General features: G+C 47.2%; 2 protein-coding genes across 12 annotated transcripts in view, besides 2 other annotated features; both read right to left on the bottom strand.

Moving 5' to 3' along the window:
• GET1-SH3BGR (GET1-SH3BGR readthrough) overlaps positions 1 to 19,765 on the bottom strand; it is a 135,179-nt gene extending 115,414 nt beyond the window's left edge. For 2 of the 3 annotated variants that reach the window (NM_001317744.2, NM_001350300.2), the window contains exons 1-3: positions 19,605 to 19,765; positions 9,228 to 9,393; positions 8,255 to 8,322 (exon numbers count right to left, since the gene is read on the bottom strand). In NM_001317744.2, the coding sequence (NP_001304673.1) occupies positions 8,255 to 8,322; positions 9,228 to 9,393; positions 19,605 to 19,706 (336 nt within the window). In that variant the 5' untranslated portion in view covers positions 19,707 to 19,765. Of the gene's footprint in view, positions 1 to 6,810; positions 6,926 to 8,254; positions 8,323 to 9,227; positions 9,394 to 19,604 lie in introns of all 3 variants that reach the window. The other variant, NR_146618.2, reaches the window with a different exon arrangement.
• Positions 1 to 19,765, bottom strand: part of GET1 (guided entry of tail-anchored proteins factor 1) — a 48,203-nt gene extending 28,438 nt beyond the window's left edge. Inside the window, exons 1-5 of one of the 9 annotated variants that reach the window (NR_146614.2) lie at positions 19,605 to 19,765; positions 8,615 to 9,393; positions 8,255 to 8,322; positions 6,811 to 6,925; positions 2,202 to 3,225 (exon numbers count right to left, since the gene is read on the bottom strand). Coding sequence is in view for 6 of the 9 variants with exons in the window: in NM_004627.6 (NP_004618.2) it covers positions 3,152 to 3,225; positions 6,811 to 6,925; positions 8,255 to 8,322; positions 9,228 to 9,393; positions 19,605 to 19,706 (525 nt within the window). In the remaining 3 variants the exon portion in view is untranslated. Of the gene's footprint in view, positions 1 to 2,201; positions 3,226 to 6,810; positions 6,926 to 8,254; positions 8,323 to 8,614; positions 9,394 to 12,235; positions 12,311 to 19,169 lie in introns of those variants that run through there. The other 8 variants (NR_146616.2, NM_001350296.2, NM_001350295.2 and 5 more) reach the window with 8 other exon arrangements.
• Positions 11,806 to 11,975: an enhancer, noted in NCBI's record as "active region_18469". NCBI's record gives its function as "activates an Ori minimal core promoter by ATAC-STARR-seq in GM12878 lymphoblastoid cells {active_cell/tissue: GM12878}" and the evidence as "EXISTENCE:reporter gene assay evidence [ECO:0000049][PMID:35858748]".
• Positions 13,951 to 14,000: an enhancer, noted in NCBI's record as "active region_18468". NCBI's record gives its function as "activates an Ori minimal core promoter by ATAC-STARR-seq in GM12878 lymphoblastoid cells {active_cell/tissue: GM12878}" and the evidence as "EXISTENCE:reporter gene assay evidence [ECO:0000049][PMID:35858748]".

Genomic DNA, 24,733 nt, shown 5'->3' with positions numbered 1-24,733 from the left:
ACCAGTTTGCCTAGCATTCCAGCCCCTTATGGTGGCAACAGCACATAAAATGAATAAAAATTGATTATGGGCTGGGCATGGTGGCTCACACCTGTAATCCCAGCACTTGAGCCCAAGAGTTTGAGACCAGCCTGGGCAACATAGTGAGACCCTGTCTCTACTTAAAAAAAAAAAAAAAATTAAAAAAAGATTATGGATTTGTATATTTAAAAATTTCCCTGCTTGATTTACCATAAATTTATGACAAAATCGGTATGAAGAGAGCTTTAGATGTATTTTAAATCAAAGAGATACCTGCTTTCACGTGAAGCTATAAAATATATCCAGTATTTTTAAAATAAAAACAAAAACCCACTGGGCGTGGTGGCTCAGGTCTGTAATCCCAACTTTGGGGGCCTGAGGCAGGTGGATCACCTGAGGTCAAGAGTTCAAGACCAGCCCGGCCAACATAGTGAAACCCCATCTCTACTAAACATACAAAAAATAGGCGTCATGGTGCAAGCCTATAGTCCCAGCTACTCGGGAGGCTGAGGCAGAAGAATCACTTGAACCCAGGAGGCAGAGGTTGCAGTGAGCCGAGATCGCGCCACTGCACTCCAGCCTGGGCGACAGAGCAAAACTCCATCTCAAAAAATAAAATAAATTTAAAAAAAATAAACCTATCATTACCTTTCAACATTATACACACATATATGCAAAAAACAAAAGCACAGATGCTAACGCCAGTCACCCTAGTTCTATGGAGTCATAGGTTTTTCTTCCTTGCTGCTTTTCTGTACTTCCCAAGTTCCATTTTTAAAAAAAAACAGTAAATAGGTACTACTTTTGTCTTTTTAGGTATTATTTTTATACCTTTAAAACATGTCTTAAAAGCACATGCATGAATATTCATAAATGCATGGAATATCACTGGCAGAATCATAAAAAACTGTTAACAGAGGAAAACTTTGGGAAATTGGGGGACAAGAGTCGTAAGATGCACATTTACTGTAGCTCTTTCTCTATCTTCTGAATTCATCACCGTGTTCATCATCTGTTAAAACAAATGGCAGGCCGGGCGCGGTGGCTTGCGCCTGTAATCCCAGCACTTTGGGAGGCCGAGGCGGGTGGATCGGCTGAGGTCAGGAGTTCGAGACCAACCTGGCCAACATGGTGAAATCCTGTCTCTACTAAAAATACAAAAATTAGCTGGGCGTCATGGCGGGCGCCTGTAATCCCAGCACTTTGGGATGCCGAGGCGGGTGGATCAGCTGAGGTCAGGAGTTCAAGACCAACCTGGCCAAATCCTGTCTCTACTAAAAATACAAAAATTAGCTGGGCGTGACGGCGGGCGCCTGTAATCCCAGCTACTTGGGAGGCTGAGGTAAGAGAATCACTTGAACCCAGGAGGCAAAGGGTGCAGTGAGCCGAGATCACACCACTGCACTCCAGCCTGGGTGACAGAGCAAGACTCCCATCTCAAAAAAAAAAAAAAAAAAACTGTATAATTTCTAAAAAAACACAATAATGTGAAACATAAAGGACATTTACATTTCCCCTATTTAATCATCACAAACTATTCACGCATGGGGAAAGTTAATAGCTGTGAACCAGAAATTTTTACCTCTAGCCTCAGTGAGATTTGTCAAAATTCTTGTAACAACTGAATGAGAATATCTTTAAGAGATACGGGTATCATCATGGACACTGTATGCGGATGAGTGATCCCAGCAGTTCCCTGGGCACGCTCTACATGGCCGGTGCACTGTTGACTGTCCACCATCATTTCTGCCTGCAGCTTACTAAAACGGGAGTTAGGCACGTGCCCCCTTGGTGCTATATTTCGTCTGAAGGACTAGTTCCTGCAGCTTCCGTGTGCTACTCTCATCTCCTCCCCAGGTTGGCTTCTCATCCTTTGTGGGCAAAATGTATCCCGTGTGGTGACGGACACTGGAAGCTGGTGTCCAGTTCCTCCACCAGGCTGTGGCTGCGTTCCCTGCTCTGTCCTTTCTTAAAGCTAAGTAAACTTGGTGCTGGGTAAGCCTGCGTGCATGTGTGTTTGAGTAAGTGGAACCCAAAAGCTGCTGTGGTGGCCTTCAGCATGACAATAAATAAAGGACCACAGCACTTTGTCTTCTCACAGTCCAATCAGCTAAAATAACAACAAACTACTTATTAGATCATTAGGAAACAAAAGAGTACAAATATGAACTTGCAGAAACTAGTGAGAAAATTCAGCTTTACTGGGATATGGTGACTCAGTTAACAGCCACTTGTCAGTTGCGGGTGGCTCACAGCAAACAAGTAGCTGTAAGGCAGGAAGTTACACAAGCATTTGCAAAGATTTTAATTAGAAAAAAGTGTTTTAAGGAACATTTAATAGAATTATACTTTGTAGGCCACACAGGTTATTGGTTCAGATTAATCAGGACTTATAAGGTTTGTTTTCTGTGTTCCATTCTAAAGAGCATAAATATTAAATGCTTATAAAATACACTTCATTCAAAATGCTTTAAATACAAAACACAAGTTGAGCACAAAACAATGCATCATGGTCTCGTGGATACATTTACAAAACACTGTAATGAAAAATTAACAGCCTCAAGTAAGTAGATAATACTATACAACTCTTGCTCAACAAATGACATTTTAAACAAAGGGAGAAAAAGCCCACGCAATGTCAATTAGTGTTGTTCTTTTAACCATATTGAATGTGATTAAAGAAGAAATTTTCGAATTTTTAGTAGTGGTATTAAAATTAAGTTACTTTCTAAACTGGATTAAAAACAGCACTAAGTCTTCAAAGAACTTACTTAAAGTTGTTAGAAAATTTTGACTTTCCAGTTGGCAATATGACCAAAATACATAAGAGGGCAAATCACAAGTGACAGCATGGAGATGTCCCTAAACATTTCACATTTCGTACAGATCGAGGACGGTGTTCACTAGTACATACGTGTCATAAACTGGACTTTCTTGGCTCAATGACAGGTGTAGAAAATCGTGATTCTTATAAGACTCTCTCATAAAGTCCAAGAACAAACATATTCAACAAAAAAAAAATCTAAACTATGCACTTTTGTTTCTTAAAAAACAAAACAGTGTAAATCAGATTTTAAGCTAGGAAGAGGAAATCCGTTTTTTAGCCTCGCGGCTGTATCCATCCTCCTGTTCAGCTGAACGGATGAAGCACAATAGCGACAACTTTGTTACAGACTAAAATCCAACAGGTAATTCCAACACCACCTGAAAACAAAGACATTCACCATGAGAGCGCATACCAGCAGTGCTGCCCCCATCTGTCTCTGCTGTCTTTAACTCACAGCAAAGAGAGTATTTCCATTCTTTTTGAGCAGTGCTGGGCTGAAGTGAAGTTTATGTTTCATAGGTTCAAATTTGTCACTTTCTTTTTTTTTTTTTTTTTTTGAGACGGAGTCTCGCTCTGTCCCCCAGGCTGGAGTGCAATGGTGCGATCTCGGCTCACTGCACCTCTGCCTCCCGGGCTCAAGCGATTCTCCTGCCTCAGCCTCCCGAGTAGCTGGGATTACAGGTGTGCACCACCACACCTGGCTAATTTTTTTTTTGAGACAGAGTCTCGCTCTGTCACCCAGGTGGGAGTACAGTGGCGCGATCTTGGCTCACTGCAAGCTCTACCTCCCGGGTTCACGCCATTGTCCTGCCTCAGCCTCCCGAGTAGCTGGGACTACAGGCGCCCGCCACCGCACCCGGCTAATTTTTTGTATTTTTAGTAGAGATGGGGTTTCACCGTGGTCTCGATCTCCTGAACTCATGATCTGCCCGCCCCGACCTCCCAAAGTGCTGGGATTACAGGCATGAGCCACCGCACCCGGCCGACACCCGGCTAATTTTGTATTTTTAGTACAGACACGGTTTCACCATGTAGGTCAGGCTAGTCTCAAACTCCTGACCTCAGATGATTTGCCTAACTCGGCCTCCAAAAGTGCTGGGATTACAGGTGTGAGCCACCATTCCCAGCCCGAATTTGTCACTTTCTATAGAATCATAGGGCTGTATTCTTTACTAAGCAGGAATTGCAGTGAACGGTGGACCCTGGGCTGAATTTCCCTTTCCTGCCAGAGAGATGTGCATTACTATTTATGATATTAATAGATTCCAAAACCAAACCTGTAAGATTATTTATTTTTCCTTTCTCAGAAAGCATTATAAACAAAGCAATGTCTACCTATGCCTTTCTTGCCCCACCAATAATGGAGAGGCATACATATCCCCCTGTCCAGGAAGACAGGCTGCAAGAGTGACCCATGGACCTGCTGGATGCATGGAAGGGTGGCTGGATGCTTCTCTGGCCGCAGTGCAGAGCTCCTGGCCTAGGCCCAGCTGTGTCAAACAAAGGAGAGGGGAAGGAAAGGGTGGGGAAGGGGACAGGGGTGGTAGCTAAATTGGGAGTCTTTGAAACAGCCATTCCTGGCCAGGCACAGTGGCTCACACCTGTAATCCCAGCACTTTGGGAGGATAAGGCAGGTGGATCACCTGAGGTCAAGAGTTCAAGACCAGCCTGGCCAACATGGTGAAACCCTGTCTCTACTAAAACTACAAAAACTAGTCGGGCGTGTGGTGGGCACCTGTAATCCCAGCTACCGGGGAGGCTGAGGCAGGAGAACCACTTGAACCTGGGAGGTGGAAGTTGCAGTGAGCAGAGATCACACCACTGCACTCCAGCCTGGGCGACAGAGTGAGACTCGGTCTTAAAAAAAAAAAAAATAGTCATTCCTTTTGATACAGTATTCACCTCTAACATAATCACAAATCACAACCAAAGACCAGCAAGTATGTGTGCTGCAGCATTATCTTTAATAGCAAAAAATCAGGACCGGAATAAATATCCTTCATCAGGAAAATCTGCAAATGAGATATCTAAATGAAGAACAGCTACTGAAAATTCCTTAATAAAGAAATTTGCCAGGCAAGGTGACACACCTATAATCCCAGCACTTTGAGAGGCTGAGGAGGGAGGATTGCTTGATGCCAGGAGTTTGGGACCAACCTAAGCAACAAAGCAAGACCCCATCTCTATAAAAAACTTTTTTTTTTAATTAGCTGGGCATGGTGGTGTGCAACTGTGATCCTAACTATTCAGGAGACTAAGGTGGGAGGACCGCTTGAGCCAAGGAGTTCCAGGCTGTAGTGAGCTATGAGGGTGCCACTGCCAGCCTGGGCAACAGAGCAAGACCCTGCCTCAAAAAGAAAAGAGAAGAAAAAAAAGAAAAGAAATGTACTGATATGGTGCTATGGTCTGAATGTTTGTATCCCCCTAAAATTCATATGCTAATATGCTACCCCCCACAGTGATGGCATTAAGAATTGGGGCCTTATGGGAGGTGATTAAGTCACAAGGGCAGAGTCCGTGTGAATGGGATTAGTGCCCTTATAAAAGAGGCCTAAAGGAGCTTGTCCTTCCACCATGCAAGGACATAGTGAGAAGACACCATCCATGAACTGGAAAATGGGCCATCATCAGACACCAAATCTGCCGGCACCTTGATTTTGGACTCCCCAGCCTCCGGAACAGTGAGAAATAAATTTCTGTTGTTTATGAGCTACCCAGTTTATAGTATTTCACTTAACCCTAACAAACTAAAACATGTGGGAATAGGCTTACCCTATAAAGTAAAAAGGAGGCACAACATGTGATGTGCCAGGTGACCTTAACTATATCAAAATAAATGGGGAAAAAAAGGCAAAGAAAAACATATCACAGCATTAAAAGCTAATAGGAATCTTATTTTTTATTTATTTTATTTTATTTGACACAGATTCTCACTCTGTCACCCAGGCTGGGGTACACTGGCGTGATCTCAGCTCACTGCAACCTCTCGGATTCAAGTGATTCTCACACCTCAGCCTCCCAAGTAGCTGGAATTACAGGCACGCACCACCATGCCCAGCTAATTTTTTGTATTTTAGTAGAGATAGGGTTTCACCATGTTGGCCAGGCTGGTCTCAAACTCCTGAGCTCAGGCAATCCGCCCACCTTGGCCTCCCAAAGTGCTAGGATTACAGGCGTGAGCCACTGCACCCAGCTGGGATTTTTAATTGATAGCTATATTTCTAATCATTCTATAGTGACATGTACTACTTTTAATATCTAAAAAAAATTTATCTTCAAAAATAAAAGAACGTGGCTGGGCATAGTGGTTCATGCCTGTAATCTCAGTACTTTGGGAGGCCAAGGCATGAGGATCACTTAAGGTCAGGAGTTTGAGACCAGCCTGGCCAACATGGTGAAACGCTGTCTCTACTAAAAATACAAAAATTAGCTGGGCGTGGTAGTGCATGCCTGTAATTTCAGCTAGTTGGGAGGCTGAGGCATAAGAATTGCTTGAACCTGGGAGGCAGAGGTTGTTGCAGTGAGCCAAGATCGCACCACTGACTCCAGCCTGGGTGACGGAGTGAGACTCAGTCTCAAAAAATAAAAAATAAAAGAATAGCCAGGAGCAGCAAGTGCTACAGAGAAGCCAACCATAATAGGGATTGAAAAGATACATAATTTTGGAACTACGGCTAGTGTTTCAATGGGGTATCAGACTTGACGTATTGGGCATGGATCCCGGAAACAGACCTAGGACTGAATCCTAGCTTTGCTCCTTAACATTTTGGTGACACTGGACAAGTGAAGTAACTTTTTCAGACCTCAGTTTCTTCATGGGAAGCCTCATGTGAGGCTGAGACACAAAACCCCGCTCACTAAATGGACGGTGAGGAGGATGTCAGGCTAACTTAATCTTCTACCACACACCTCTACATAAGCCTATTCACACTCTTCCACTGCATCTTCCAGAAAATTCTTACCTGCTACTCTAGTAGGAAAGGCTACCAGGCGGTCTAGAGGGGTTATCCATTTACTCGGCACGACAGCCACAGGGACAGAATAATACTTCCAAATGAGTGAGATCATCAGGGCAGCCTGTAAAGACACCTCTGGTGAGCAAAGCAGCCTGCCAATCACACAACCGACCACACAGAAGGGAGGACAGGGAAATGCGAAAATAAAACCAGGAAAACTCTCCAGACTGAGCACCTCAAGCCTAGGAACCCAGTCCCCACAGACAACAGATGAGCACGCACAGCCACTAATGTCCCTTGGTGAAACCTTGAATGAGAAAGTCAAATTAAAGACGAGCTCAGCAGCATGTCTGAACACTGCCAACAAGTAGGCGAGCCTTCCTATGTGAACTGGCATTTCACTGTTTTAGGATGAACACAATCTACACATAATTTAAATTAGCTGATAAACTAACCAAAGTCTCCCATAACACGGGTGTGCTTTTCTCACTGAGTATCTCGTTTGAGTAGCCAGACTGTATGCTCAACACACCTTATTAGTGACGAAAGCCATCCTTGGAAAAAATAGTGAATTCTCCCACGTACACCAGTGTTAGCAAGGGACGCAGAGGTGAGCCCTGTGTAAGTTTCAATGGTGGGGGATGCTTTATTTCCCTCCATCCCCCCACAGCATTCCTTCGATTGTCATCTGTCCCCTTCCTGGCTTGAACAGGCCGCTCAGAAGAGACATGAAAGAGGGTTGCTGGCCTAACTCCTTTGTCTGCGGAAACTTATCTCTTAGCAAATGACAGTGCCTCAGAATTAATTTCCTTCAATATACCCTGCCAAACTAAGCTTTTTTGGGGGTGGGCTTGAATCCTTTGCCTTGGTTACCGGATCACATGGTACTGCAACTCGGATATTTACGGCAGCTGCTAAAGGTGTCTGGGCAGCACAACTGCACTCTCGGGGCAGAGCAGAGCCCAACAGCTCCAGGAGAGGCTATGAGGGTTAAGCCCCAGGCAGGGAGGCTAGAAGCCAATTCCAGTCGGAAAAGCTGGTTCTCTACCTGGAGGGTGGAGAGCGTGCATGAAGTACACCAGGTAACAAGTAAGGGCCAAAAGTATTGAAGATCTCAGAAAAAACTGATGTCATCTATAAGCCTCTCGCTTCATCCCACCAGGCCCTTCAAACCACACTGGGATGCAGGCATGGTGAAAGCTCTCCGAGAACTTACTTCACAGTCCATCTGCCAAAAAGTCCCAAACTTTAACAACTCTCCTCAAGAGAAAGGCTTCCTTTTAGTCTGACTTAGAGACCGAGAGTGTTTAGAGCTCCATGTGGGCAGGGACACACGACACGACAGCTGAAGGTGGAACAGCCCGAACTCCCAGCCCTGGATCTGCAGACACGGCTCTGGAGGCCGGGGTCACCAACTCCAATGACCCGGCTGACGCTCTAGCACACTTACCTGCAATACGTAGAAAGCGACACTTATCACCCATTTTATCTTGGCTAATTGAGCTGTCCGAGCTTTCACTGAAAGGAAAAACAGGATAAATAATTATGTCAGTCCTGAAAAATTAACAAAATATTCAAATACACAGAAATGTTATTTTCCCTTATAATACACTTTCTGATTATAAATGGAACAATCGCTCAACATATTTAGAAAATATAAAATAGAATTTTTAAGTCACCCACCATCTCATTATGCCATTATTTAAAATAGTATCCGACTCAGATTGAGATTTGAATAGCTTTAATTTTGAAAACTCTTAAAACGACTCATGAAATCAAAGATTCTTTGTATAATACAGTTACCACTTACCAACAGGACTAAATTTTCCTCCTTATTTCCCAGTGTGCACAGTACACGAACCCCTGGTGGGAGTCCAGCTTGTCCTGGGCCTGGACAGGCCCCTCTGTCTGTTTTCCTAGCCACAGAGACAGCTCTCTGACTGTGCACACACTGTGACCGGGGTCCCTCAGCACACGGGCTGCCCTGAGAAAGCGCTCTTCATCACAGGACACTGGACCCGGGAGGTGACACTCAGAAGAGGACACTGCTGGGCATTTTTCTAGAGAGTGGAACAAAAGCCTCTGGGAATCCACTGTGAGACTTTTTTTCTGGGCTTCTCTCAGAAAAGTGATGAATTTAAAAATGAAAACCTACAATTTTTAAGAGTTAGCTTAAAATTTTAAAGAGTTGGCTCTGAGGAAAATCTGAGAGGATCTTAGATATTTCTGTGCTTAGAAAGCAAAGGTTCACCAGCAAATAAGAGGAAAGTAATACTTATTACTGAGTTTCCTCCAGATAACTTAAGTTTCCATCAATATTCAGAACATCCAAGAAGCAAAGTATGTATTCTACTAATCTTCACATACAGACTTCTCTATTCATCCGCTCTCATGAAGCCTCCAGGCTGCAAGGGACACAGTACCATGGGTTTTGAGCTTATCCGTCATCTTGTTGATCTTTCTTTCCAGCCTGGCATATCTGGCAAACTCGTCCATCATGTTGACTGTGGAGAGCTCCTGCTTCATGTCCTGGATCTCCGCTCTCATCTGTGACTCCTGCTCCGCGTCCTTCTGCAGCACCCTGGACATCTGGCAGGGCGGACAACGGGGATCAGCACCTTCCAACACGGGTCACAGGAGGGTTCCCCAGTCCCCCGCTACTTTCTGTCTATGCCCTGACCACTCTGTGACCCAGCCAGTTGTGTGCGTCCCTGCAGGACTGAATGCAAACTGCGGCCGTGAACGTTCCCAGGACTGATAAAGAGCAAAGGCTGTTGCTGGAGAACACTGGGAGATTCATCCTGCTGAGAAACACCTACAAACTAGCCCCACCATGACAAAGTCCTTAAACTCCCACATACACTCCATACCCCAACCCCCGGGTGGCAGACAGCCCTAGGTAAATGTCCCTTTCTCTCACTGGCTGTCCCGGGACTGCCGCAGCTCTTGTAAGTTCCCGTCATGAATGCTGTGGACTTATCACCCTGGCGTTTAGTGCTTCTTTCTTTGGAATCCAAGCCAGCCCCATCTCCAGGCAGTCTGGAGCAGCCCCTTGAGGGAACTCCCCTGCCACTGCTTTTGAGGTGACTCCAGCATGGGTTTGGCCAGACAGAACCGGTACACCTTCCTCCAACATCCTACTCCCACCTCTGCCAACTGGGCAAGCTGCCCTCTACCTACACAGCCAGCCTCTGCTGCCTTTTTCGGCTCCCTATAACGACCACAAAAAAAAAAAAAAAAAAAACTCATATTCAAATTGCTATTCAAACTATATTTTTCCTTTTACAGATATGCCCATGAATTTGCTCCAATACAAATGTTTGTCTGTTTCACTATAAATAAAATTGCAATTGTGAAATGAAAACCAATTCCATCACCAGAGCTGTTATTCCAGTGACAGGGAACATGTAACCTCTCCCCTCCCAGAAGAATTCAGTCCTAGATTAGACGGGGCAGAGCAAGGTGCAGGTGCAGGGTAACAGTGGTGAGGCAGGGGCCCAGGGCAGAATGTCAGTGCCCAAGCTCAGTGCAGAGGGCCTTCCCACAGAATGGCACCCTGGCAAGAGGCATCAGGGCCAGGCATGGTGATACAGGGGTCCCCAAGAAAGGGCAGCCTGACACAGGAGTCAGGGTCTGTAGGGTGAGGGAGACAGACATACAAGACAAGAAGGAACCCTGCCAGGGTCGGAGCCCAGGTGGGGAGAGGCATGCATTCACTTGGGTAACAGTGGGCGGTGGACACCAGAGATTAATTACAAAAGGGTGATCACAGAAATAAACATATTGAGAGTAACGGAAGCCAGTCTTCTCACTTTCAACAAAGACACTTAGAAAGATGCCTCAGCCTGGCATGGTGGCTCGGCCTGCAACCCTAACACTCTGGAGGCCGGGGTGGGAGGATCTCTTGTATACAGGAGTTCAAGGCTACAGTGAGCTGAGATCATGCCATGGGACTCCAGCCTGGGCGACAGGGTGAGACCTTGTCTCAAAAAAAAAAGGGGGACAAAAGAAAAAAGGCCAGGTTCGGTGTCTCATGCCAATAATCCCAGCACTTTGGGAGGCCAAGGCAGGTGAATCGCTTGAGCCCAGGAGTTCAAGACCAGCCTTGGCAACATGGTGAAACCCTGTCTCTACAAAAAATATGAAAAATTAGCCACTTTCATAACCTGGTGAAGGAAGGAAGGGAAGAAGGGAGGAAGGGAGGGAGGAAGGAAGGAAGGAAGGCAGGCAGGCAGGCGTCTCGGAGAGAAGCAGAATGAATCTTGTGGTGTTGGCTTCAATTGGAGATCTGTGGTTTCCACAGATAGGCAGAGAAATACAGACATAAACAAAGAAGCACGCTCCCCAGGCTGGCCTGGCTGGTCCCTGTGAGCAGAGGGGCCCCGCATGACCTGGAGGCCCGCCTGCGCAGCCCCCGCAGGCCCCTGTTCCCTGCACCAGCCCCAGCCGTCCACTCTCCAGGGAACGGCCCGGCCACGGCACCGGGATGGGAGAGGTGACTGGAGCGCAACGGAGGAGTCGGCAGTGACCGCCAGGTGGCGCCCGCAGATCTGCCGGGAAGGCCTAGTCCAAGGACTGCGCGGGCGCCCCAAGACCAGATCCCTCAGTGGCGCCTCTGGCACCTACCCCAAGGGATCAGCGAACATCCCCAAATCCCAGTCCCACACCAGCGGATGAGACACAATGAGAACACAGCACTGCCTCTCAGAAATCCCTACCAAGTATCAGACATGCCAGTAGGCGTCCCTTCTGCGAAATCACTGGCCTCTGACACCCACAAATGACAGCCATGAAAGTCAAGGGAAGACTGGGAAACTCCTCCAGACAGGAGGCTAGAGGCCGGGAAATGCAATGCATGATTCCGAACTGGGTCCTTTCCCTGTTAAGGACATTACTGCGAAACGTGGGGAACCTGCATGGGGTCTGAGGATCAGATCGTGGTAACGTACTTGACGCCTGCATTAGATCTCGGCTCACTGCAACCTCGACTTCCTGGGCTCAAGCGATACTCCCACCTGAGCCTCCTGAGCATCTGGGACTACAGGCCTGCACCACCACACTCGACTAATTTTTTTTTAGTTTTAGTAGACACACGGTTTCACTATGTTGCCAGTGAACTCCTGAGCTCAAGCGATCCGCCAGCCTCGGCCTCCCAAAGTGCTGGGATTAAAGGCGTGAGCCACTGTGCCCGGCCCCCAAGATTCTTTTGAATACCAAAGTATCTCGGAATGAGGGGGTTTGGGTTGACAACTTCCAAATGGTTCAGGAAACAAAATCAGTTATCGGTATTGACTGTATATAACTTTTCTGCACATTTGTGTTTGTTTCGAAATTTTAAAAATAGATTAATAAAGACGAAATGTTATAGTGTATCTAAAGTGTGCCTGGCACACAATAAATCAGATCCCCCCCCCTCCCCCTTCCAGCTTACAGGTCTCCTCCGCCTGCCGCACAGTAGGGACAACTCTCCATTTAGAGCTTGGAAGCCGCGACCCGCCAGTCGCCTGAGGGTGTCTGCGCATGCGCGTGGTTTCTGACCCGCCCAGTGATGCCGCCTACCAGCGCCTGCGTGATGAGGCAAAAGTGGGGGGGGGGAGTGTGGGGAGTAGGGGGGGTGGAGGGGTCTAGGGGCTCATGCGCAGCGTGTTCACTGCAGCGCAGCTTCTGGCAGCCTTTGCGCAGGGAGTAGGGGGTTCAAATCCAGCTCTCTTTGTGGTGCCTCTGCCCTGGCCACTACCCAGCACTATAACCGAAGGAGCTATACTCCAGCCTGATCCACTCTGGAGAAGGAAATAGGAATGGGCCAAATTCTCTTAGATGAATCACAAAATTATCTTTCAAAAGCAAGGAAAATCTACAGACACTGCTAAGGACTTTTTGATAATTTCGCCTTATACAAATTACACTTCAATAAATCTGACTTTTAAAACCATATTTTAAAAAGAAAAAGAGATTCCAAGACATTATTTAGCATTATAGGGAATACACAAAACAACTCAGGAATGGGAGGTGAGTGAAGGCAGAAGGGTGAACTTCAGGAAAACTGAAGGCAGCTTTGTAAGGTTAACAAAAACAACTGGTGCTTGAAAAAATAATTACATCTATTACATGTATAAGCACAATAAAAACTGTCTGAGCCAGGCGCAGTGCAGTAATCCCAGCACTTTCGGAGACTGACGCGGGAAGATCGTTTGAGCCCAGGAGTTCGAGACCAGGCGGGGCAACATAGCAAGACCCAATCTCTACCAAAAAATTAAAAATTAGTCAGGTGTGGTGGTGCACGCCTGTGGTCCGTGTGGCCCCAGCTACTCAGGAGGCTGAGGCGGGGAGGGAGGGATCACTTGAGCCCGAAAGGTTGAGGCTGCTGTGAGTTATGATGGCACCACCACACTACAGCCTTGGCAACAGAGTGAGACCCTGTCTCTAAAAAAAAAAAAGTTTTAAAGTATAAATTTGCAAATATGTATCAATGTTAATCCAAGACCCACGTATAAGTGTTAAAATGTTCTAGAATCATGCAGTGTAAGATTTAATATGAATCTAAATGTAATAATGCAAATATTAATTTTTAGAACAAAAGTGAATCTCTGAATTAATTGATGGCATGACAACGTGCACACCCCGTGCTAGTCCCTGCCAGCAGTAGAGCAGGCAAACCCAGGAACCACCAACTCAGGTCACCCTGAGTCCCTGAACACAGAGGACAGGGTCTTCCAACTCAGGAAGCTCCAGACCCTGAACAGCCCCAGATGCCACTCTCGGCCAGGAACCCTACCGGCAAGGGCGGAGAAGCGGGCAGCTCTCCAGGCCACCAGCCCCAGTCCTTGGCTGCTGCCCCCACGAGAGCCCCACTGGAGGCCCTGCCCGCACATGCGCACTTCACAAGCGCGCTTCTGAGTCACAGGATTCTGGGGTAGGTCCTGTGAAGCAGAGAGTCGTCCTCCTAAACTAATACTTGGGGACCATTCCCAAGCCTGGTCCATGGCAGGGACTCACTAAGCAACGGCTCTGAGGAAAAGGGTGTGGGGGCGGAGGGGGTGCTCTCTAAGAAGATGACCACAGAGGCAAACCCTGCAATATCCTCCTCTCGCTTCAGTCCCCTAGAGGAAAAAGGAGGTGGCCACTCTTTACAGCAGAAAGTGAAGGATAATTTAGAAAAAGTTGAATCTCAAAGGGCACTCGGCCCGTAAGCCCAGAAGGCAACACACGCAGAGTCCTTCATCTGCAAAGCTCGGATTGAGAGGAAGGGCCTCCTGGCGCCTGCGCAGTGCATGTGGCTCGTGTGGCCACTCAGCCCACACCAGCTCTGGGGCGCCTGCGCAGTGCGTGCAGCTCGCAGGGACCCTGAGCCAGCGCCAGTCCTAGGGCGCCTGCACAGTGTATGCGGTTTGCATAGACTCTGAGCCCGCGCCAGTCCTGGAGCGCCTGCGCAGTGTGTGCGGTATGCGTGGACTCTGAGCCCGTGCCAGTCCTGGGGCACCTGTGCAGTGCGTGCGGCTTGCATGGACTTTGACCCCGCGCGAGTCCTGGAGCACCTGCGCAGTGCATGCAGTTTGCACGGACCTTGAGCCCGGGCCAGTCCTGCGACGCCTGCGTAGTAGTGCCGTTCGCATGGACCCTCAGCCCCCGCCAGTCCTGGGGCACCTACGCAGTACACCTCCCCTGCACCCGCAGAGCTGCAGAGCCGGTGCTCACCAAAGGCGTCTTTGTTCCCCTCTATAGCTGAAGAAAGTCCTGGACCACCTACTGAATGAACTAGGCGCTCTCAACCATGCGTCCCCGTGACCAGCTTGAAGAGAAGGGAGCGATCCCAGGAAAATTCCAACCACGCCAACACCACGGACTTGGTGTCCTTACCAGGCATCCCACCCCCACCGCAGCGGACAGCTGAGATCGCCTCCCAGGACCTTGCTAGGCTTAACTGGCCCAAGGACTTCTGATACTTCAGACCTCCTAAGGCCTCACGCGGGGGGAGGGGGGAGACCAGTGCGGGGACCAGTGCGGCCTAGACTGAGTGCTGAGATCGGGGTGCTGCCTCCCTAACTTCTGCTAAGACGAAAGCTTCAGAAACATCCCAACGGAGGTTATAATCTAAGTACCTGAGCGCGGCCCCATCCCTGAGGGCACTGTTTTCCCAATTCGACTTTCTGCTGCTTGTCATGAGTCTTTCCCACTTGAATCCTCAAATCAGAGAGGCTGTGATGAAGTAGCCTCTGACGATGGTGAAGGAGCAGCATTTGACCCTACTGAAGACCAGCGCGTTCCTTACAGCTTTTCACAGACTCTCACCACAAACCCAGTGACCAGGCCAAACATCTCTCTTACCGATTACAGGGTGGGTGTACTCTGCTGGGATAATAATTATGTTATCCTTCTGAACCTGGCTAACAACAAGTGTTAACAATCATAGGGAAATGGGTTTAGGAAAGCTAACTGGGTTGAGGTTAGAGAGGCCATAAGGTTGTATGAGGCAGCACAGGATGTGGCCACAGGTCCTGAGTCACAGAGCAAGACCCGGCCTCTAAAAACAAATTTTTCTATTTTGGAGGGTGGAGGATAGGGGGTGGGAGGGAGACAATCAGGAAAAATAACTAATGAATACTAGACTTAATAACTGGGTGACGAAATAATCTGTACAACAAACACCCATGACACAAGTTTACCTATATAACAAACCCGCACATGTATCCCTGAACTTAAAAGTTAAAAAAAAAAAAAAAAATTGTCGGCCAGGTGTGGTGGCTCACAGCTGTAATCTCCGCACTTTGGGAGGCTGAGGCAGGTGGATCACCTTAGGTCAGGAGTTCGAGACCAGCCAGGCCAACATGGTGAAACCCTCTTTCTACTAAAAAAAATACAAAAATTAGCTAGGTGTGGTGGTGCATGCATGTAATCCCAGCTACTCGGGAGGCTAAGGCAGGAGAATCGCTTGAACCCAGGAGGCAGAGGTTGCAGTGAGCCGAGATAGCGCCACTGCACTCCAGCCTCGGCAAAAGAGCAAAACTCTGTCTCAAAAAATAATAATAATAATAATAATAACAACAACAAAAGGAACTCAACAACAAAAAACAACTGGATTTTAAAAGGGGGCAAAAGATTTGACTAGACATGTCTCCAAAGATAAACAGATGGCCATAAGCATCTGAAAAGATACTCAACATCACTATTAGGGAAATGCAAATCAAAACTAAAATGAGACACCACCTTACGTCCATTAGAATGGTTAGTATTACAAAAAAAAAAAAAGGCCGGGGGTGGTGGCTCACGCCTGTAATCCCAGTACTTTGGGAGGCCCAGGCAGGTGGATCACCTGAGGTCAGGAGTTCGAGACCAGCCTCGCCAACATGGCAAAACCCCGTCTCTACTAAAAATACAAAAATTAGCCCAGCATGGTGGCATGCACCTGTAATCCCAGCTACCTGGAAGGCTGAGACAGAAGAATTGCTTGAACCTGGGAGGCGGAGGTTGCAGTGAGCCAAGATTGAGCCACTGCACTCCAGCCTGGGTGACAGAGAGAGACTCCCTCTCAAAAAAATAAAAATTAGCTGGGCGCAGTGGCTCAAACCTGTAATCCCAGCTACCTGGAAGGCTGAGACAGAAGAATTGCTTGAACCTGGGAGGCGGAGGTTGCAGTGAGCCAAGATTGAGCCACTGCACTCCAGCCTGGGTGACAGAGAGAGACTCCCTCTCAAAAAAATAAAAATTAGCTGGGTGCAGTGGCTCACACCTGTAATCCCAGCACTTTGGGAGGCCAAGGTGGGCAGATCACCGGAGATCAGGAGTTCGAGACCAGCCTGGCCAACATGGTGAAACCTCGTCTCTACTAAAAATACAAAAATTAGCCGGGCATAGTGGCGGGCACCTGTAATCCCAGCTACTTGGGAAGCTGAGGCAGGAGAATCTCTTGAACTCGGGGGGCAGAGGTTGCAGTGAGCTGAGATTGCGCCATTGCACTCCAGCCTGGGCAACAAGAGCAAGACTCTGTCTCAAAAAATAAATAAACAAAATAAAATAAATAATAAAAAAAAAAATAGGCTGGGCGCGGTGGCACAAGCCTGTAATCCCAGCACTTTGGGAGGCCAAGGCGGGCAGATCACAAGGTCAGGAGATCGAGACCATCCTGGCTAATTCGGTGAAACCTCGTCTCTACTAAAAATACAAAAAAATTAGCCGGTTGTGGTGGTGGTGGGCACCTGTAGTCCCAGCTACTCGGGAGGCTGAGGCAGGAGAATGGTGTGAACCCGGGAGGCGGAGCTTGCAGTGAGCCGAGACTGCGCTACTGCACTCCAGCCTGGGCAACGGAGCAAGACTCCATCTCAAAAAATAAAAATAAATAAAAAAATAAAAAGAATAAATAAATAAGAAAACAAAATACATGTTGAAGGATATGGAGCAACTGGAACCCTTCTGCACTGCTGGTGAGAATGTCGAATGGTGTGGCTGCTATGGAAAACAGTATGGTGGTTTTTCAAAAAAATTCAACATAGAATTACCATAGATTCAGGAATTCCACTGCTGGGTATATGTCCAGAAAAACTGAAAGCAGAGACTCAAAGAGATATTTGTAAACATTTTAGCATTATCTACAATAGTCAAAAGGTAGAAACAACCCAAGTGTCCATAGACAGATGAACTAATAAACAAAATGTGGCCTATACATACAATGGGATACTATTCAGCCTTAAAAGGGGAGGAAATCCTGACTCATGATACACCATGGATGAACCTTAAGGATATTATGCTGAGTGAAAAGAAGCCAGTCACAAAAGGAAAAATACTGTCTGATTCCACTTATATGAGGTCCCAAGAGTAGTCAAATTCACAGAGGCAGAAAGTACAATGGTGATTGCCAGGGAGAGGTAGGAATGGAAAGTTGTTGTTTAATGAGTGCGAGAGTTTCGGTTAGAGGAGATAAAAAAAGTTCTGGGATGGGGCCAGGCGTGGTGGCACACGCCTGTAATCCTAGCACTTTGGGAGGCCAAGGAGCACAGATCACTTGAGGTCAGGAGTTTGAGACCAACCTGGGCAACATAGTGAGACCCCGTCTCTATTAAAAATACAAAAATTAGCCGGGCATGGTGGCAGGTACTGGTAATCACAGCTACCTGGGAGGCTGAGGCAGGAGAATCGCTTGAACCTGGAAGGTGGAGGCTGCAGTGAGCCAAGATCAGGCCACTGCACTCCTACATAGGCAACAGAGTGAGACTCTGTCTCAAAAAAAAAAAAAAAGAAAATGTTCTGGGAGCGGGGCCACGTGCAGTGGTTCACACCTGTAATCCCAGCACTTTGGGAGGCCAGGATGGGTGGATGGCTTGAGGTCAGGAGTTTGAGACCAGCCTGGCCAACATGGCAAAGCTCTGTCTCTACTAAAAATACAAAAAAATACCTGGGCGTGGTGGTGCATGCCTGTGGTCCCAGCTACTTGGGAGGCTGAGGTGGGAGGATCACTTGAACCTGGGAGGCAGAGGTTGCAATGAGTCGAGATTACACCACTGCACAGAGCCAGACCCTGTCTTAAAATAATAATAATAAAGTTCTGGGATAATGGTTGCACAAAAATGTGAATGTACTTAATGCCACTGAACTGTACACCTAAAAATGATAAAGATGATAAACTTCATATTATGTGTATTTTACAATTAAAAACAAGAAGATGAGCATGGGCCAGCTCATCAGGAGTCTTTTATGCAATGCCTGAGACATCATCTTAAAGACTGGATAGCATCAGGAAAGATTCTGAAGGAGACTCAGGGGTTAAAAGAGAATTCCCTATATCTCAGGACAATGCAGACAGTAGGACAATTGAGAGAGTAAGAATAGAGTTTTGCACAAAACAGGCACTCAATGAATACTGGTGGAATAAAATATCCTCCACTACTACCAATTTATCTTAGGAGAGAAAAGCAAGAACTGTTTTCCAAGACAACGCTGAAACGAATGCGCCCAATCTTTGAGGACTCCGCCTTTGCCCAACAGCTCCTCATTTCTGCTGTGGGCATACGGAGGGCGCTCATTCTCGGGGACAGTTCCCAAGGTACCCCCGCCTTCCATGGCCACACCCCACCACGCCCTGTCCAATTTGCCACCAAATCCCTATCCCTGCTCCAAAAGGCAATCAAATCTCCACCTCCAGTCACTAGGTGGATGACTTAGTGCCACCACTAAATTCTCTTGAGCCAGACTCCTCCGGGAGGTAAAGGAGGGTGGGATGATAATACTCGCCTCTCCCAGCAGCCGTGAGACAGAGGTAATGTACTCACTACCTGGCAGAAAGAGAGTGTTCCCCAACCTGGTTGCTCCCTTGGATACTGAAGGCATCACGCTGTACTGAGATTCTCTCTACACCTGTCTCCCACCCTACCCACCCCAAGAATGTGGGCTCCTGGACGCGAGGATCCATCTCTCCGGGACCTGGAACAGCTGACTTCGCCCGCCAGGCCTCTGGGAAACCCTGGCCGAGGGCTGCTCGAATGCCTCTAGGAACCAGGATTAACGGAAACGAGGCTGACAGCGGGGCACTAGGAACTCCCAGTGTGAGGTTCGCCGCCGCCACCCACAGCCAGAAGAGTCCAGGGTTGCCCGGTGTTTCTCCCAACCCCCTAGAACCCAGAAAGTCTGATTTTGGGGTAAAGCGTCGTACCTTTTAGACGCTAACAACTATCTCAAAAAAGCTTACGGACCAACCAAGACGCTACTACGGCCTTCAGTCGCCCAGTTGAGACCCCTGTACCTACGCCAGACCCGCCGGGGGACTGGGGCGGCATCCCCACCGGCCCTTGGGAGGCCAGGCAGCCACTTACGAAGGATGAGAAGGACGGGAGGAGGATCCTAAGAACATTGCATCCAAACACGAAGCTGAGCACCAGCAACCACGCCCAGTGGTCGGCCGCGGCTGAGCTCATCCCGGACGCTCCTGGCTGTGCTGGGTCCGCTACGGCAGCTCCATGGGGACCACAACAACAGCGGCGACCGCGCCTGCGCGGTGAAGCCAAGCGCCCCAGAACAGGCGCGCCGACGCGCCTGCGAACTGCGTCGCCCTCGCGGGAGGCGGGGCCGTTTTTTCGTCCGGCTCCAGTTGGAGCGGTTAACACGTTCCGGGTTTCTCCTGGGCCTTCGGCGGTTCCGTAGCCTTCTAGCACCCATCCCTACTGAACCAGTTTTCTGACGTCCGTGTTTCTTTTTTTCCTTCTTTTTAAAATTAAAAACCTTCTCATAGTACCAAACTCTGGTTTCAAGTGCTAACGACTCCCTGCTTTTGTCATAATTAGTACTTTCTTTAAATTAACTTTTAATTCTAGATAAGTTTAAGAAAAACTCTTCCATAAATAGAAAACTACCGTTTTTATAGTAGCAGGTAACTGTCGTGTTCCAAGCAGTTACATGGAAAATGCCTTACGTTTTCGTTCCAGATCTAAACACTGTAGTAAGTCTAACCAATTTACACAACTGCATACCTGAAAAATAAGTTTAATAGAATGCACTGTTCACAATCATTAGTAATAGTTAATAAATTAACCTGAATCTAGGTGAAGATCAGGTTTTGCAGCGAAAGAATCCCAACTCAAATGTATGCAAAGTGAGCAGGGCGAGGTGGCTCACGCCTGTAATCCCAGCACTTTGAGAGGCCGAGGCGGGCAGGTCATGAGGTCAAGAGATTGAAACCAGCCTGGCCAACATGGTGAAACCCCGTCTCTACGATACAAAAATTAGCCGGGCGTGGTGGCGCGCGCCTGTAGTCCCAGCTACTCCGGAGGCTGAGGCAGGAGAATCGCTTGAACCCGGAAGACGGAGGTTGCAGTTAGCCAAGATCGCGCCACTGCACTCCAGCTCTGGCGACAGAGCGAGACTCCGTCTCAAAAAAAAAAAAAAGTATGCCTAGTGGATAAAGCAAGACATGTTCAACTGTCTCTTCTGCCATGCTGCCATGACTGGTTTCTGAGGACTAATTCCTAATCAAAATGATGCAAGATTGCGGGTACACTGGCTCACGCCTGTAATCCCAGCACTTTGGGAGATCCAAGCAAGGTGGATCACAGGCCCAGGAGTTTGAAACCAGTCTGGGTAACATAGTGAGATCCCCATCTCTACAATAAAATATAAAAATTAGCCGGGCACTGTGGCACGTGCCTGTGGCCTCAGCTACTAGGGAGGCTGAGATGAGAGGATCGCCTGAGCCTGGGAGGTCGAGGCTGCAGTGAGCTGTGATCACACCACTGGACTCCAGCCTGGGCGACAGAGCACAACTCTGGCTCATTATTATGAACCAGTTAAAATAATTATGCGGCTGGGCACAGTGGCTCAAGCCTGTAATCCCAGCACTCTGGGAAGCCGAGGCAGGTGGACCACCTAAGGTCAGGAGTTCGAGACCAGCCTGACCAACATGGCAAAACCCTGTCTCTATTAAAAATACAAAAATTAGCTGGGTGTGGTGGCGGGCACCTGTAGTCCCAGCTACTCAGGAGGCAGAAGAAGGAGAATCGCTTGAACCTGGGAGGCGGAGGTTGCAGTGAGTTGAGATCGCACCATTGCACTCCAGCCTGGGTGACAAGAGTGAAACTCTGTCAAGAAAGAAAGAAAGAGAGAAAGAGAAAGAGAAAAAGAAAGAAAGAAAGAAAGAAAGAGAGAGAGAGAGACAGAAAGAAAGAAAGAAAGAAAGAAAGAAAGAAAGAAAGAAAGAAAGAAAGAAAGAAAGAAAGAAAGAAAGGGAAAGGAAAGGAAAGAAAGAGAGAAAGAAAGAGAAAAAGAAAAAGAAAAGAAAAGAAAGAGGCTGTGGTTCTACAAATTTCTGTGTCAAGAAAACATGTGAAGCAAAACTATTCTGTAGTGGTAGAGTGAATTCCTTCCCTGAAAGGACTTATTGGTTAAGTGACTTCTGAACTGACCAAAACAAAGAGCAGGAGTCTGGCTCTCCTCCATAGCCTTCCCTTCCACCTGGATGGACCACGCAGCACGGCAGCCAGGCTCCTGGCTCCTCTCTCACTGGAGATTGAGATGGATTTAGAAGGAGAAACTGCCTCTTGAAAAGTGATGACAGGCCAAGCATGGTGGCTCATGCCTGTAATCCCAGTATTTTGGGAGGCCGAGGTGGGTAGATCACCTGAGGTCAGGAGTTCGAGACCAGCCTGATCAACATGGTGAAAACCCATCTCTCCTAAAAATACAAAAATTAGTCGGGCGTGGTGGCGCATGGCACACGCCTGTAATCCCAGCTACTCAAGAGGCTGAGGCAGTAGAATCACTTGAACCCAGGAGGCGGAGATTGCAGTGAGCCCAGATCACACTGTTGCACTCCAGCCTGAGCAACAGAGAGACTCAATCTCAAAAAACAAGAAAAAAAAAAGGAAAAGTGATGACAGCCCCGACCCCACTGGACCCCTTTCACCCGCCCCCAGTCTCTGCCTCTGGCTAAAGAGAAGTCCACTACCACACCCCACTGCCACCTATCTTCAGGAAAAGGATTACCTAATTCCTGGACAGTCGAGAACTCCTAACAAAAAAAAAACCCTGGAGCATGTCCTCAACTTTGCAGCAGCGGTGGGAGAGAAGCAGCAGCACCCGGGCTTCACAGGCAACCCAGTCTGAAGAACTCAACCCTCTCCTGTTGCTTCCTGTGAGCAGCACTTCACAAAAGCACCAACAATGGAAGGCGGAGACCCTCTTCCAACACATGGAAAGCAATGTGAGAGCCAGGGTGTTTCAGCATGAGTCAATCTACATCTAGCACAGGTTAAGATAGTAAACAAAGCTCATAACAAGAACAAGACTGTTCATTTCTTAATGCTGCTGTAACATATTACCATGAACTCAGTGGCTTAACTTTATTATCTCACAGTTCCAGGAGAAAGATACCTGAAATGAGTCTTATTGGGCTAAAAATAAAAGCAAAGCTGAGTTCCTTCTGGTGGTTCACGGGAGAATCCATTTCTTTGCTTTTTCCAGCTTCTAGAGGCTGCCTGCGTTCCTGGTCTTGCATCCCTCTTCCTTGTCAAATCCAGCAGGCACAGTTCTCTGACTCCTGCTTCCATTGTTACATCTTCCCTGGCTCTCCTGCTTCCCTCTTTCACTCTAGAAGAATCTTTGTGATTATACTGGATCCATGTGGCTAAACCAAAATAATCTCTCCATTTAAAATTGTTAACTTAATTACATCTGCAAAGTCCATTTGCCACAAAAAGTAACATATTCACATGTGCTGGGGATTAGGTTGTGGACATGGTGGGGGGACAGTATTCTGCCTACTGTAAATACCATAATCATTCGTGAAAATGAACCAAGATGGCAGCAAGAGAAACTCCACAGAGAAGAAGCCTATTACTGGTTTATTAATGAACATGGTGTTGGTTGCCAGAGGAAAACCATAAGCTTCCAAGCACTACTGGAGAAATAACATCAGTTGCTTCCAATCAATCACTGTTCGATGGATCCAGGCACATGCCCCACCTCAGCCTGACCTGAGAATAGGGTAATTGGGACATATGTCAGAGGCTCAGGAGTCCCTAAAAAAATTTCAAATAGAGAATCTTTTTAAAATGTCTGAACACCTTTTATTGCACATAAAATGCACCTTAAAGTGGACAAGATGGGAACCAAACATTGAAATCTGTGAGTTGAATAAATCCAGTGAAGAGTGTTGGCTTCAGCCAGAAATCAATATAAATCATGAAAATAAGTGGATTTTAAATTCCTGGTCAAAGGCTGGGCACGGTAGCTCATGCCTGTAATCCCAATAGTTTGAGAGGGTTTTGAACCCAGGAGTTCAAAACCACACTGAGCAACATAGCAAGACTTCGTCTCTACAATCAATTAATTCCTGGTCAATGTGATATGGGTATTCAACTCTTAAACCCCAACAGAAATGATGACCTAAAAACAGGTGCTGGCTGGGGGCGATGGCTCACGCCTATAATCCCAGCACTTTGGGAGGCCGAGGTGGGTGGATCACCTGAGGCTGGGAGCTTGAGAGCAGCCTGGCCAACATGGTGAAACCCCATCTCTACTAAAAATACAAAAAATAGCTGGGCATGTTGGCACACACCTGTAATCCCAGCTACTTGGGAAGCTGAGGCAGGAGAATCACTTGAACCCAGGAGGCGGAGGTTGCAGTGAGCCGAGATGGCACCATTGCACTCCAGCCTGGTGACAGAGTGCAACTCAGTCTCAAAAAAAAAAAAAAAAAAAAAAAAAGAATGTTTACTTACAATATAGGAAAGATTAGAAATGAAATTTGGAATCAATAGGCAAGTTCTAGACCTATTGCTCTGCATGCTAATTTACTTAGTGGTTATGCAAGCCAATCAGATAGTAGTGAATTCAGGCAAAAGAAGGAAAACCATTTGGAGAAGCACATATTTGGGGAAAATAGTGCTAGAATCATTATTACAATGAGAAACACAGTTCAGAGACTAGAGCCAACAAGGTTACATTATACCTTAAATAATCAAAGTTGTTGGCCAGGCATGATGGCTCATGCCTGTGATCCTAGCACTTTGGGAGGCCAAGGTGGCAGATCAACTGAGCCCAGGAGTATGAGACTAGCCTGGGCAACCTGGCGAAACCTTGTCTCTACAAAAAAACAATTAGCTGAGCATAGTGACTCAAATCTGTAGTCCTAGCTACTCAGGTGGCTGAGACACGAGGATCTCTTGAGCCCAGGAGGTTGAGGTTGCAGTGAGCTGTGATTGCACCACTATACTCCAGCCTGGGCAACAGAGCAAGACCCTGTCTCAAGAAAATAAAATAATAAAAGTTGTTTACCAATTCAGAAACAACTATACTGCTTATTCTGAGGAATATAATTCACAGAGGGAAAAAAGATCTTTACACAGACTTTAGAAGGTCTATCAGGAGAACAGCTATAGCTCTTTCTTCTTAAGAGACAGAGAACACAGAAAAGTTTCATTCCTTAATTCAAGACTTGAGTCAAGTAAAG

This window comes from Homo sapiens, chromosome 21 (genome assembly GCF_000001405.40).
Source record: "Homo sapiens chromosome 21, GRCh38.p14 Primary Assembly".
Taxonomy (NCBI): Eukaryota; Metazoa; Chordata; class Mammalia; order Primates; family Hominidae; genus Homo; species Homo sapiens.
Note: the sequence above shows the minus strand (reverse complement) of the source record. Positions and strands in the feature narration are given on the sequence as shown.